Below are 16,193 nucleotides of genomic sequence, written 5' to 3'. Positions count from 1 at the left end.
GTTACAGTCCCACTTACATGTCAAGCCTAAGTATAATATTAACATATACATTGATCCTGCATTTTTAGAAGGAGGAGGAAGAAAGGATTTCTAATAATATGCTACTGCATACAAAATTTATCTAAGTAAATAATTATTTTTAAGCCTAAGATTCAGGCAGCTTTAGTATTCCACATTATGCTAATGTTTGACAATTACTAAGTGTGGGTATCAGCCAATGGTTTTTTTTTTTTTTAAGTTTAATTTAAAGCAATTTGACATGGAAAGGTTATTACTTTAGTTGCCAATAAAAGCTGTACTTTTAACATAAGTGTACAGTAGGCCCTAGGGTATGTGACTATTATCTTTTCTGCAATTATGTGGTGTTCTACATAAATGTTTAAAAAAAACTTGGAAATATCAAAAGTACTAACTTAGATACAATATGAAAGTTGAATAAAGAGAGAACGAAAACCCGATTATTTTAGACACAACATGGGTTGAGGTTTCCTCCTAGAGGTTATACTGGGAACAACACCAGCTGGCTTTGAATAAATTAATTCAAACTATATCTTAAAAACACACACTTAGCAACCAGAATATCGATTTTATGAACATTCTGTCTTGAGATACAGTTGTTCAATTTCACAAGCTAAATGCCATTAACAGTAAGAGCAAGTCTCTGAACCAATTAACCTATTTTCTGGAGTTGCTGTGCTACCAAAATAAAAAGAACATTTCTCAGATGGTATTTGCCACCCTAAGATTTCATATGTCCCAGAGAAAAAATAATAATTTATTACCAGTAATTGGGTAATCTAAACTTTTTCTCTTTCCTTGATCTATTAGGAAGATTGGACTTTAACAAAACAAAATACTATTTTGTTCTTAAAGAGAAAGAAAGCAGCCCTATCCCAGCTAACCTCCCTTTACCTTTTTACATCTGTCTTTGAGGTGTTCATATTTAACGAATGGGGGAAAGTCAAGGAAAAAAAGGGTAGGAAAGAATTTAATCAATAGCTACTGCCAATTTTTCATTATTATGGGATACTCCCTTCCTATAATAGGAAATCACTCAAGAAAAGTAAGGCCAGCAAAATGGGGACATTTACCCAGCCATCTGCTTAATAGGAGCATTTAATCCATCAAAGGGGAGAGATGCAGGGCTGGGAAAAGCAGACTCCCACACTCTACCTGTAAAGATTGACCCATGGGAGTCAAAGTTGCTCCTGGACAAATACTTTTTTTAAACCTTGCGAAAATTATCATCATTATTATTAACAAGAATAACTATATTTTTTGAAAACATCCAAAAATGGCCCCTACCGAAACACCTTGAAAGCATCACCTTATTCTTCCTCAAAATAACCCAAAGAGGTAGGTGCCGTTCTGACACGCATTTTCCCAATGGAGAAACACAAGCTATCACTTGTGATAGTGGTGACTGGTCCTGCTGGGAGTCCAACACCCATCACCCTCAGCCCCACCCCCACCCCCCGTCCATCTGCCTAAAAAATGCACGATGTTATCACAGTGAAGCAGTTAGCAGAACAGGCTTTCTGAGTTTGAATCCTAAATTCATTACGTCCAAGCTGAATAACCTTGGCTAATTTACTTCTCTGTTTGACTCAGTTTTCCTTTGCATTAATTGGGGATAATAATTGCACTTACCTCATAAAACTACTGTGAAGATTGCATGTGCTGATGCATATTAAGCACAGAGAACCTGTACTCATAGTGTACATTCATTAATAAATGTTAATTAGTATATTATGATTGCTTTTCAGTATATATGTATTAGCTTACTTTAGTAAAACTCTTCTATTCTTGTCTGGGCATTTAGAGAGATCCTCAAATAAACCTATCTTCTTGGGAAAAGTCAGAATATAGCAAATTATAGCAAGCAATATAACAAGCAGTTTGTTTTTTCAAGCGTCCTCTTTTATTGCCCCATTTTAGTGCAGAGGAAACATATTTTTAAATTTAGCAACTTCTATTTTGACTCTCAGTGACCCTGAGCAGACCCTGGTCTGCTCATCATTTTGCTGAGGCATAAACCTGGAATGAAACAGAAATTTTCTGAGTGAAAATACACAATGTGCCTAGTCACTTGCCCAGTACCCATCTCACAGTTCATGGTTATCAACATAACTCTGATCTGAGATCTTGAGGGATAACATATTTTCTTATCATCTCTACCTTATTGTATAGAGAAAATCATAACCAATAGAGAGGCTTGCAAGTTTCTGAATGCAAGGAACTACTATAATACCTTTGACTTGTTTAATCTCTCTCCCTTGAATTATCTCTTTTGATAATTCCCAACAAAACTATTATAGAAATATTATCACAGTTTCAAAAAAGAGGAAACTGAGGCTCAGTTACTGAATGACGATAGCTCATCCATATCAAATACACATCTCAGCTACCGTCTCACCTTCTCTACAAAAGATCCCAAATTTAACAGAGAAGGGCTTAGCCAATTTATACATGGGCTTTCTCTCATTTTTCTCTTATCCATATGCCTTGCCTTTTATCCCTAGTTACTTTCTCACTTCCGTTGAGATGCACCATGGTGCACGTTGGATGCACCATGGTGAACATCTGTTATTTCTGCCTTCCTCCTCTTCCTTGTAATATCATGGTTTTCCCTTGAAACTATCCCTTAATCCACTCTCTGTCCACATGACTTAGTTAGTACGACTAACCTAGTCCCTGCTCCATGGTTGGGCATAGGCACAGGTTTAATCAATCAGAACACATATATTCTAACCCAAGAGACCAACTCAGGGATTGGCATGCAACCTAAGCTTATTGTTGAATGTCTGTTGGAAGCATTAGAAAAGAAAAGCTATCGTTATCCTAAGGTTGCATGAACTCTATACTGTAACCCTAGAGCATTTGGAGACCCTAAGTGAAGAAAACCTACCTGGGAATAAAGCCATCACAGAGGAAGGCAGAACCAAAGAACGGAAAGAAGGCAAATGCTTGTATCATTAGTTAGGCCCCTGGATTCAGCCACACCTTAAGCAATGCTCTCCCCTATACATTTTAGTTATGCCAGCCAATAAAGCATCATTTTAATTTACTAAAAAATGGCTAGGTTTCTGATATTTGCCCCTGTCTTTAATAACTCATCCATACATCCCTTAAACAAGCATAAATTAGTATGCTTATTTATTTATATTTATTTATAAATAAGCACACTGCCTTCTTTTAGAGCTGTGACTGCTTCAGTGTGTGTCTGCTATAGACAGTGAAGTTCTGGAGAACTGAAGTGCCCATGATTCTCTTCTGATCATTCTTGGCACATTTCTCCAAATGCAGTTTTGATGATAAATAACAAGGATAATGCCTTCCCCAGCCCACTCCATTTCTTAAATGGGAAAGCCTTCCTTCTCTTCTCTCATGTTTTCTACTGAGTCAGAAAATAACTCCAGTGTCATCTCTGCTAATGAGAACATGCGTGGCTATACCACTTGGATCTCAGAGGAAGGATATTCCTTCCTCCCTGTGGAAGGAATCCACAAAATTACTGAGTCAATAGATCTGTTTCATTTCAAAGGTTGAATCTATTTTTGGACGAATGTGCATACAGAGAAAAAGGTCTCAGGCTGAGACCCCTAAGTCGGCAAGAATATGTACCTAAAGTGCATGGCACTGGCTACTCCTCCAAAAATATACATTTGTATCTCTCAGGAAACTTTTTAAGTTAATTTTCCATCAAATTAAATAAGCTAATGTTTATTTGCAGATAGAATTCTGGAATGAGACTTGGTCAAAATAGAAGACAATTTATGGCCCAAAGCTACAAAGTCAGGGTCAAATAAGGAAAGTATCCTTTAACCATTGGCCACTATGAATATTTCAGAAAAACAACATGGCGGAGATCCAGGGCAAGAGAACTTCAATATAGTGAATCCTCAGTGTCCTCCTGGAGAAAGCAAAGGCCAGTTAAAGATTGCTTGAAGCTCAGAGATGGCATCTTTCAGGTTCAGAAAGGGGTTATATGGTGCTTCAACTTTTCAATCAAACAGCCGCGGGCTGTATTTGGGGCTCAGCCAGGAGCTCTGCAACCTTGGGCAAGTAGCTTTACTTTCTCTATACCTCAGTTTTTCCCCTCAGCTAAATAAAACTAATAATGCCTCCTGGGATTGTCATGGGGATTAAATGAATAAACCCATACATGTGTAAATTACTGAGGACACTACATTGCAAGGGAAAAATGCTCAACGCATGTTAACTCTGCTGTTGGAACTAATCATAATCAGTATGAGAACTCATTACATGCAAAGACTTCTCCAGCAAGGACATTTGAAAGAATTCAAGAACCCTGTAGCCCCAGATTAAGGGGGCTGAATTTACAGAATTTAAAGAAGCCAGTTCTAGAAGAGACAGAAAAATCTTACCAGGCCTGGGAGGACTTGTAACCAAAATCTGCTTCAAGTTGGAAGTCTGAGGCTCTTGTTTTAGCATCCAACCCAGACAGAACTCAGCATGGTGAAAGAAACCAGGGCAGGCTGCCCAATAAGCTTTACCAGACAACCCAGTGGATTTTATCCTAGCTCAACCATGCCAGAGTAAAATTATGGGCAGGAAAAGCTCAGATCTCTATCTTTGCATGTATTTTATTTTACTTTCATTACTACGTAATAGATCCCTTTGAAAATACCCAAATTCGTCTTGGTTAAAATGAGGGAAAATTATTTTCACACTTGAGGCAGAAGATAAAGAGATTGATACACCCACAGAGGATAACCATGAGTCCACAAAGTAGAGCTATCAGGTATAACTCCCTGGTGATGTGAGAAGAGAGAAGGCAAGCCATGGCCCCTGAGCCAGGCTCAGGAGAGATTTTTGTCAGCACCAAAGATAAAACTTGCTTCCTTCACTGGTTTTCTTAGTAATAACAGACTGACCTTTTGTTGAAATGACTTGCCACATCCAATAAGAATTTTTTAAAAGGTGTTTGGAAATAATACAGTGACTGTGATAAATACTTACTTGAGAAGTGATGCTTTTAAGAAACCCATAGCCAACTATTAGATATTCTTAAACAGCCTAGACCTCTTAGTATTGTTTTATTCCTTAAAATTGAAACAGAAGCCCTAGAGCCATAGGCTATGATTAAGGTTTCATTTGTTGATCAGCTTATGACTTCTTTAAAAGAGTATCTCACTGCAAGAGAACTTGTTCTATTGCTCTGTGTCTCACACTAGTCCTTCCTGTATTTGGGAGGAACTAGATTGTGAAATTGATAGTAACTGCAATGTAGAGTTTGTAAGAAGCTGACACTATATAATTATTTGTGTTTAAACTGAGTCTACTAACAACAACCATATTATGCTTATTAAAATATTAACAAAATCCAGAAGAAACATAAAATGTATTCATAAAATTTGGGTAAGTCAGGAGTTTGGGAGGAAGAGTGACTTCCTTCAATATATCAAGAAGAGGTCCCCAAAAGTGAATTTAATGTGAACTTGGTAATGGAAGACTTACTCAAATTAGGAAACCTACCCAAATCAAAGTAGTCCCACTGAGCACCCCCAGGTGGAGGGAATTTAGCAAATGAAGGGTGTCTTAAAACTTACAAATGTTCGAGCCTTACTGGACTGGCTTCCCTACATTTGTCTCAATGTCCTGAGTGGCAATAAAATATCCCAGCTAGTAATCAAGTCATGAAGGTGATAATGAAAAAGGGGGAACCCAGAAAGAATTCTCGCATGTTTATTCAGTGAGTCAGCCCTTACCAACAAGAAGGATATTAAGCAGATAACTATTAACTGTTTCTTGCCGTCAAAATATTTTTTTCAGGATTGGGAAGCTTGGTAAAAACTTAGTCATTGACCCTATATATAGTTAAGGTCAAACCAGTATACAGTTGGAAAAGGTGCCCACTCTACAGTTTGATGTGAGAGGCTTCTGAAGCCATGCCACTTCCTAATATGACCTCTTGACCGCTTTATCCAGAAACCGTAACTAACCCTCTCCCCTCTGCCATCACTGATTCCTCCCCAGAACTCACCTACATCCACCCAGTCTTGAGGTAAGACATCTTGTTTCCAAGCACATGCTATTCTAATGTACACTTTGTGTCTGGGAGGGATAAGCTTGCAGTCCATTACTTTGTCAATGTAATTAGTTGTTTTACCATACTATAGTCCCATTCCCATCTGCAAATTGGGGATACTAGTGGCACTTACCTCACAAAATTGCTTGCAAATTAAACAAAGTAATTCATATAGTGTGCCTGGAACACAGTAGGTGCTGAATAGATATTGTCTCTTTTTGTAGTTGCTGCTGTTGTCTGCAAGTAATAAAATGTCAGTCTCATGGTTATGACTCTAGAATTTGAAAATATAGAATTAATGGGGAGGGAAAGCTGTCATGGAGGTAACGCAGGGAAGTGCCTGGCTGAGCAACTCAACACAAGGGTCGGAACCATGGGAAGTGTGGACAGGCACGAAGGCAAGGGGCCTGTACCCCTTTCCCATTACTCCACTTCTAAACAAATTGTCTTCTCCAACCCCAGTATATCCTCTGAGAAATGAGGAAGAAAAATAATCTCTTCAAATTTTATTAAATGGTTCACAGGCCACTTTTCTTTCCCTTCTAAGTAGAAGCAGGCTGCATGATTTAGACGCTCCTAATGAAAGATTTTCTTAGCTCTGTTAATTAGTGTTAATTGCTATGGTGGTTTCTGTTTCAAATCCATTCTTGTTCGCCACTTTACCCTTACATGATTCTAGAAAAGGTTGCAGCAGGCTAGAGGTAACCCCTAATAAACAGTCTCCAGGCAAAATGATTTGGATGAGTTCCTGAGGGCACTCCCACTGAGGTTTGTTTACGAATCTCATGCTGAAGAACGACACACAAAAAAAGTGAGAAAGAGGCGTGTGATGGGCATCCTGATGTGAAAGTGTCAAGGTGGAAGAGTGAGATGGGGAATCAAAATTCATTTAAAGTGTATGTGCTGGTATATTTCATAGTAAATCTCAAGGTCTCTGGTTGGGATTCCAATTAGCCTGAATGATGAAAACAGCTAATGCTAGGAATCATAGCTATGTAAGTGCTACTCATCTCCACTCATTCATTCATTCACTCATTCCACCCTTATTTACGGAGCTCCTACTTGGAATGCAGCTTACAGTTTCACTAGAAAGACAGACAACAAAATGAATCATGCAAAAATATATATACAGAGGGAGATACTGTGTGAAGGTTAAGTAAGGATGAGATGACAGATCATAATAAGAGGTCAGAATTCAATGCAGGGAAGGAAGTCAAGGAAGGAAGGCTATGTTCTAAAATGATATGCAGAACTGAGACCAGAGGATCTGCAGGAGTTCACCAAACAAAGCTTCAGGAAAGAAAGGAAGGCAGCCAAAAGAGCATGAATCCCTACTGCCTTGAAGAAGACCTCCCCCTTGATGCCCTCAACGCCCAGAGGCATTCAAAGAAATCCAGCAATTGTTGGAGAACAACTCATAATTTAAGGTCCTGATGCTGTCTTTGAACACAGGTCATGGCCAAGATTTGGTGACTTATACAGATGGGATAAGGTGGAACCACTTCCACCCTTCCCTGAGTTGCTAGAAGTCGGGGATAGAGGTGACATAGAAATCTGTGCATGAGAATGATTTTCCAGAGTTCCTGGCTTGAACAAGAAGAGAGATGACCCAAAGCAGTTGCTATAAAGACAGGGAGCTGACATGTAAACTTTAAATTTCAGAGTAATGATATCCCCCATAAGTATTTACGTTATAGTCACATGCGGCCTCAGAATGAAAACCAAATGGCAAGCGATACAATCCTTTCAAGACGGCCAATTCTGGCAAATGATCACAATACTGAGCTCTTAAATAAAAGTGAGTGCTTTTGCTTCTGATAACCAAGCCCTGTGCCCCTGAGGAGTCCTACGGATCAACAAAAGTCCTTGGGGTCTGAGGTTCACCAATAGCCAAGGAAATGACAACGAAGATTACTTCTGCTCCCTTTCCTGGGGACCACTTTAAAAATCAAGAATTAGTAGCAAAACACAGAGACCTTACAGCCAGGCTGTCTGGATTTGAATCCTAGCTCCATCATTTACCAGCCAATGTGATCTTGGTCAAATTATTTAACCTCTTGCCTTAGTTTCTACATCTGAGAAATGGGGATAGCAACCACATCTATCTCATGGGGCTGTTAGGAAGATTAAATGAGTTACTTTAAAACCAGTACATGGTAGATGCTATAGCAGCATTTGCCATTGGGAGAGTAATTGTTAATCCTCCCTACATTTCATGGACAGTCCTGTTTTACAGATAAGGCTCAGAGAAAACAAGAAGGCTACCCAAGAATGCACAGCTCAGTGAAGAGCAGAGCTGGGGTTCAAACATCTGTTCATACCACTCCACATTTTTTCCACTGACTACATTGTGTTCCCTCTAAGTATTGGCAAGTAAGTGCATGTGAAAGCAAGAAAAGGAGCAGAAACCAAGGTGGTTTGAGGGTTCATTTTCCTAAGGAAAAAAGGCTGAGAATTTACCGGCAATAATTTCTCTCCAAACCACCTTCCCCACCAACATGTAGCCTAACTCCTGTTTAACCTTCCATTCTCAGATTAAATGTCATTTCTGCAGAGACACTCACACACACTGCCCCGAACCCCTGGCCTAGGTTAGCTCCTTCTGGGAAATGCTTTTAAAGACATTGGACTTTTATTAACTAATATTAATCACAATTATATCGACATTATTTGTTATATGGATTATTTGTTTAGACTCTCTCTCCCATTGTGTTACCAGACAGAAGCAGCACTGTTCTTATTTGAGCCAGAGTGGGTCTCCTAATACCCACCGCCCTTGTTCACTCCATGATCTCCAAACAAGCCCACTACATAAGTTCTAAGGGAGGCTCTTAGGCCAACATCAGGACAGAGTTGACTGATATCTTCAACATCAACTGATTTGTTCCTGTGTTGGAATAACAGTCAAAGCAGGGCCTCCCATTACCAAGTCATAGCACTACACCTGCACAACAGCTCTGATGTGAACCCATCCCTCTTTGTGTCAATCTGTAAAGCATTTGAATGTCACACTAATCATTTTGGCTACACTCCTTACCCTAAACTCATCTTTCTCCTCATGACTTGGGTACTTCTAGAGTCAATAATTTGTGGTGTCACACTTTCAATTTTAGGTGTCACATTCCTGCATTTTCTCCATGAGGATTAATTTCAGGAAAAGCACCTGTGAATATCTATTGATTGTTCATTGTACTTTGTAGAAAAGTGCAACAATATTTATCAAACTCAAATAAGAGAAGCTCTTTGCCAGTGAAACATGTGCCAGAAGGTTCCTTTAAGTGACTTCATTCATTCACTCACTCTGCAAATATATACTGAGCCCATACTATGTCACTATACACCAGTTCTGAAAATGTCTACATAATTCATTTGTTCTGTCAGTCACTGCAACGTATATTCATTGAGTGCCTGCCATGCACAAGGTGGGCTACAAACAATGGGGAGTGAGTGAAGAGCCTGTCTTCATGGAGCTTACAGTCTTGTTAGGATGAAAGATTGTCAGTAAGCAAATTAATTAGGAAATTATAAGTGGTGATAAAAACTATGAAGAGGCCGGGCGCGGTGGCTCACGCCTGTAATCCCTCCACTTTGGGAGGCCTACATGGGCTGATCACGAGGTCAGGAGATGGAGACCATCCTGGCTGACATGGTGAAACCCTGTCTCTACTAAAAATACAAAAAATTAGCCGGGCATGGTGGCAGGAGCCTGTAGTCCCAGCTACTTGGAAGGCTGAGGCAGGAGAATGGAGTGAAGCCTGGAGGCGGAGCTTGCAGTGAGCAGAGATCGCGCCACTGCACTCCAGCCTGGGTGACAGAGTGAGACTCCGTCTTAAAAACAAAAACAAAAACAAAACAACAACAAAGAAAGCTATGAAGAAATTAGAGTGCTGAGATAGATGGTGACAGTATCAATGAACAAAACTGGCTAAGATATCTGGGAATACCTATCAATATAGCAATTAGAAGTCTGTCGTTCAAAGAAACAACTTTTGTAGGCATTACAAAATACCCACCTCCCTGGGCTGCACATGGAGTGAACTATAGGCCCTGGGTTGTCCTTATACTTGAACACTTAGTAGAAAGCACAGGAACCACATCTTCAAAGGTTATCAGCTGGATCTTTTTTCACACTTCTAAGGATCATTTTTGCAATATCGTTATATTGATTTTACCACATTTGTCAATCTATTCAAGTAAGTTATACAGATGATGATTTATAGGACATAAACACAATGGAAGGAAAAAAATTATTTGGTTAAAAAAAAAAAAACGGAGTCAGGGATTGGAGAATTATGTAGAGTAAATTAATGTCATTTAGAATGCTGTAGCCAGTAAGAGTTTTATAGACAAAATAGGGTTTTGGAGGGAGGAGGGGGACAATGGCATTTAGATAAGCCAATAGAAACAGAGCATGCACTGAAGGTAGGGAGAAGAGTACATACAAAGGCACAGGAGTGATCTGTCTCATCACCATTTCTATCTATACATGTATTTGTTCATTCCCCATTACTGTTTCAATCATTGCTGTTTCCCATACCTTAACTCATTTAGTCCTTAAAACAATCAATAGGTAACAATCCATTATACTGCCACTTGCCTTAGGTTGGGTTGCTGACGAATAGAGGCTAAAGCAGAAATTCAAGTGCATGTGATTTATCTGGGCAAGGAGGGACCAGACTAGGGTAAGAAGAGGGAAACAGCTAAGCCATAAAATTTTAGGAGGCACCTGTTTTCTTCCTCCTAGAAGGGTTGTACAACTCGTTTGGCCTGACAGTGAGTGCCTCCTGATATTGTGTGCTCTAGGCACTTCGCTGTCCTCACCTCACCTAGTCTGGATCCTGGACTTAATTCTTTAGAACAAACCTGTAATGAAAAAAGTGAAGCCAGATAGAGAAGGTGAAAAAGCCAATCAAGAATCCCAGGCAAAGTCTAGCCATGGTCTAAACCATGGCAAGAGAGGCATTCGGGAGCATAAATTGCATGACAGAATAGTTCAAAGGAGCTGGGCTTTTGTGCCACCCATATCAGCAAGCCATTTGCTGCCCCTGAGGAGAGCACAGCTATAAGCTGTTAGCTGCAGCACTCACAGCAGCTGGGGGCTTGGTGCACTGATGGTTAAAGAGGCTCCAGATGTGGCACTAAGTGTGTGTGTCACATCATTTGGAAAAAGAAGAATCTAGTACAGATGCCTCTCGACTTACAGTGGGGTTACGTCTTGATAAACCCCCCATAAGTTGAAAGTACCGTAAGTCAAAAATGCATTTAATATGCCTAACCTACCAAACATCATAGCCTATCCTAATCCACCTTAAGTGTGCTCAGAACACTTACATTAGCACATATTTGGGCAAAATTATCTAACGCAAAGCCTATTTTATAGAAAAGTGCTGAATATCTCATTTAGTTTATTGACTACTGTACTGCAAGGAAAAAACAGAACAGTTGTATGGGTACTTGAAGCACAGCTTCTACTGAATGCATATCACTTTCACACCATCGTGAAGTCAAAAAAATCATAAGTCACACCATCATAAGTCAGGGTCCATCCATACTTATAGAGGCAGCAAGTGTTCAGTTCGTGGGTCTCTGGGGAAGCCTCGATTTGTAGCATTTCCCAATTTTCCTAAAGTAAATACTCCCACCATGGCTGATTTCAGGCTATCAAGATGATCAATGGACCTAGAGTTAAGAAGAGATACCCACAAGTTTTGGGTGATTCCAGCACACCACTCATGGAAGTTAAGCAACTTAGCCAGAGACTCATAGAGAAACCAGAATTTGATCTCAGGCAGTCTTACCCCACACATTTAGGCATATCCACAGTAGCATATAGAGCATGAATCTGCAAACTTTTTCTGTAAATGGCCAGAGAGTAAATATTTTCTGCTTTGCGGTCTCTGTTGCAACTACTCAATTCTGCTCTTCAGTGCAAAAGCAGCCATAGATAGTACATAAAAGAAGAGCACGGCTGTGTTCCAACTGAACTATATTTACAAAAACAGGCAGTGGGTCAGATTTAGTCCATGGATTGTATTTTGCCAACATCTGTTATAGATGTGATTTAATTATTTTTAAATAAATAACATCTGCTATTTGCTTACTGAGCTGAGCCAGCACTAAAGTGAGGCAAGAGAGTTGCCCAGGACATAAAATTTAAAGAGACACTTCCATGACCCTGAACGTGCCCAACAACTTAAGTTTTGTGCCATGGGTGCCTGTATTGCTTTACTCTGGGCCTGGCCCTGTTACGGAGTCATCTGAACCAGATTTGCAGGGGTATTGATCAGGGTTCAGTTGCTTAAAAGTAAAGGACTTGGGCAGAAAGGGATTTAACACACAGAAATAAGAGCCTGCAAAACTGTAGGAAGGGCCAAAGAAGCAGATAAATCGAGGTAACCACACTGAAAAATTGGCGGGCCAGGGGAGTCTCCACATCTGCTTGCTCAAGAATGTGGGGAATCTGAAGGCTGCCTACAGAACAGCTAATTTCAAAGACACAGTGATAAAAGCATGATCTGGAATCAGGGCCACCACATTGCCACTCCACACCCAGAGACTTAGTGAACCACACTTAGAATATTACCTTTCAAACGGCACCTGCATGCACCTATGTGAACCTAATTTTTTTGCAGAACCCTAGCTGCAAGAGAGTCTGAGAATTACAGATTTTTGCTATCTAACTGGTGACACTGGAAGAAAAGCAAAATGTGTGCTAAGCGACAATTTACTACATCTACCATAATGGGTATCCTAAGAGTAACTGTCCAACGGGCATGAGATTCTCCTGTGTCAAGTTCAATTCCAACCAGAAGTTCCTTCTAATAAAGGGAACACCACTCCTCCCCACCCCCATCTTCTAAATCTTCCCCCCACACACATGTGATGGGATAGGTGATAGAGATGAGAAGTTTACCATTGAGGGCTAAAGGTTAAGTGTGTGAAATGCACGGAAGTATTGCAGCAGGGATAAACGGGGTCAAGGAATGCCAAGAGTGGTTGCAGCCAGTAGAAGAAGAAGGAATGAAATCAGGAGCCCTATAGGACAGTAGAAGACTGGCAGTTGCTAAGGAGTGAATGCAAAGGGAAAGCTGAGAATTTCTTCCGTGGGTCATTTGTCTCTAGGGAACCAATGCCTTGTGACCAGCGTATCTATTACTAATGGAGGACAAATGTGGCATCATTCCCTGAGGTCGGAGATGTGTGCAATTAACTAATACTAAGCATGTTACAAATACACAGTGCTCTACAGACTGTAATTCATAATCATTTCCATGGGAAAACAAAATTTACGAGTCAATAGAAATTGAGTTATTTCCTTTTGAAAATGTTTTATATTCTGATATAGGATCTATATAAACACATGTTACATATATGTAATTACGAACTATCATAATAAAACAGACACTCAAAAATCTATCACCAAACTTAGTAGCTATTAATATACAGCTGAAACTGCCTGTGTATGTTCCCCTGATACCTCTGACTCTTTCCTCCTCTTTATTCCCAAGGAAACATTATCCCAAAGTTTATGATTTTTATTTCCTTGCTTCAAAAAACATATAGTGTTATCACATATGTATGCAATCTAAAATAATTTCAAATTTGCACATCTCAATTTATTTTTATAATAGAAATTAATAGTCTTGTTAACAAATATCTTTCAAACCTATTTGTTGGAATTAGAAAATGAATATAAATCTTGGGCATTTCCAAGAAGAATAGAAAAAAGAAAAGCAGATATCGTCCATGAAAGCTTAATTCACCTTATAATTTGAGCAAGTTTTCATTTAAAAAAATAGTTTAATCATAAAATCCTTTTAGAAGTGCTAGCCTACTAAAACAGTGGCTAATTTTAACTGTTTTTCACAAAGGCGAGCCAGTCACAGAGTTAATGAAATTAAGCTTCCTTCATTTCTCTCAAATTCCCCCCACAAAGAAGAGCTGTAATGTACAAAATGCAGCATAAATACATGGCTGATTTTCAGGACTCAAGCCACCACTGATTTGTCACACTGCCTCTTAACAACATATCTGTATTTTGTAAAATGTATAATTTTTTTCAGCCCCTGAACAAATATATTTACATAACTGTGTCTAACGAGAAATTACATTTAACTTCTCAGAAATGACAATAACTAAAACCTGAACTGCCAATTCCACTTCATTAGTGTGGTAGAAACGCATTCCAAATGTTAATAAAAATTCCAACATGCTGATAAATTAGAGCTTCTAAGGAGCATGTGACACCTTGGTTAATATATTCAACCTCAATTATATTTCTCTTCAGCACCCTGTTATCTGGAACCTTTGCTGGCAATCAGAGGTGCTGTTTTTCAGCGGCCAATTTTCTAGATAATGTAGCTTATCAACACTGTGGGTAAACTTGCCAATGGAATCAGGCTGCACTGAACCACACACACGCTAATTGCATCCCTTTTTTATGCATATTTACAGACTGTCACTTCAAAGAAATCAGTGGCCCATTGAGGCACCCAGTTAGCTGGAAGAATTGCCTCTTGCAAATGAAAATTAGCAAACAAGCTAGTGATAAATATGAAATGAACAAAGTGTAAAAATACTGTTTTGTTCCAAAACTTCCTTGTCATCCCAATTTATACTCCCAAATAGAAGGAGTTTTGAACATAGGATTTACCTTTTGTTTCAAATAAAGACAGAAAGAATTCTTCCTTAAACCCACTAACTAGGTAAAAGCCTATTAGCTTTTCCTTCTTCTCCCACGCCACCCTCACCCTAAATTTCTATTCACATAAACAGGTTATTAAATCCCGTATTAGATTTGCTTTGGAGTTTGAATAGACAAATGACATGTTAACACTTCAGAAACAATTAACCCTGGGAACTTAATTAAGTTCTTCTGACTTAAAGGAAGCACATTTCAAAATAATGTTTCTAAACTCTCCGAATTTGCTCAAGAATAGCAATGCTTTGCTTCTCTTAAGTATTCATAAGTTCTACTTAACAGCAGAAAGCTTTGCCTGGCTATATATGGGTAAAGTTATGGTGTTATGAGCCTACTGTAATAGGACTACCTCAGAATGAATATTAAAAAAAAAAAAAAACAGGTATCGAAAAATAACAATTATAGAAAACATTTTCCAAAAGCCCAAAACTCTAGGCTTATATGAAAGAAAAGATGATTTTATAGCTACATCCAGGAGCTCGACATAATCCACTATACTGCGCTATGAGTTTGTCTGAAATCCTTTTCCTTGCTTTTCAGAATAACATTTGGAAATCTTTTATCACTACAACAATGTTTTAAAGCACTAGTAGGTTTTGAAAGGCATGTCATTTTAATATAAGCAGGTCATTTTAATATAATAGAAAATAAACCACAAACCAATTGAACTATAACTTCTTTTAAAGATCTTGTGCCAAGCTGAGCAATTTAGAGTGGCAAAACTCAACAAATAAGTGGCACTTAAAGTCTTAGCTTACAGCTAAGGTCCAGTGAAACTTTATTTGGTTTGGAGTATGAAGCATCAGTCCTGCTATGTGTCACAATTTTCAACAGACTCCTAAATTCCCCATCACTAACATTAGATATACAATGTCATTTGAGAGATTTTGTTTTATTTTGTTTTGTTTTAACAGAGCATGAGTAACAACATAAATATTGATATGAAGACTGGGAAAACATTGCTATTTTAAGAAACAGACTACACCTACATGCCGACTGCTCAGTTGTTATATGAGAAAAGCAAGATTCTTTAGTAAATTAGTGCTCATCTGTGTACACTAATTTAGATAATTGTTTTACATCACTTTCCAAATTGCAACGTAATTCCATGTTTATATGTCTGCTTCCTTGCCCAGACTGGAAACTCCTTGAAGACAGGAATCAAATTTTCTGGAAAGGTGAATAGGGCATAGATCTCAAGAACTCACTGAGGAGTTCCTGGTGTGGAGGGGTGAAAAGATGCTCAAACAGCCATCACATACGAGGAGAGGAACAAAGAGCTACGGGGTACAAAGAAGGGACCAGTTTTATTGCACCCAGGGGTATTGGGAGATGAATCACACCATAGACGACACTGGAACCAGACCTGAAAAGATAAGTAAGATTTCATCCCGACAGGGAAAGGCATTTCAGGCTGATCAGACCACACAAGCAAAACAG

The 16,193-nt window shown here is 39.0% G+C and overlaps 1 long non-coding RNA gene across 14 annotated transcripts in view; it reads right to left on the bottom strand.

Moving 5' to 3' along the window:
• The window catches only part of SAMMSON (survival associated mitochondrial melanoma specific oncogenic non-coding RNA), a 435,002-nt gene that overhangs the window by 343,575 nt on the left and 75,234 nt on the right, over positions 1-16,193 (bottom strand). Inside the window, exon 5 of one of the 14 annotated variants that reach the window (NR_186026.1) lies at positions 6,186-6,289. The exons of 12 other annotated variants lie outside the window; for them this stretch is intronic. This is a non-coding gene — a long non-coding RNA (survival associated mitochondrial melanoma specific oncogenic non-coding RNA). Of the gene's footprint in view, positions 1-6,185; positions 6,290-15,626; positions 16,120-16,193 lie in introns of those variants that run through there. One more of the 14 variants, NR_186019.1, reaches the window with a different exon arrangement.

The sequence above is a fragment of the Homo sapiens genome, chromosome 3, assembly GCF_000001405.40.
Source record: "Homo sapiens chromosome 3, GRCh38.p14 Primary Assembly".
In the NCBI taxonomy this organism is placed as follows: Eukaryota; Metazoa; Chordata; class Mammalia; order Primates; family Hominidae; genus Homo; species Homo sapiens.
The sequence above is the reverse complement of the archived record's forward strand: the minus strand, read 5'-3'. Positions and strand labels throughout refer to the sequence as shown.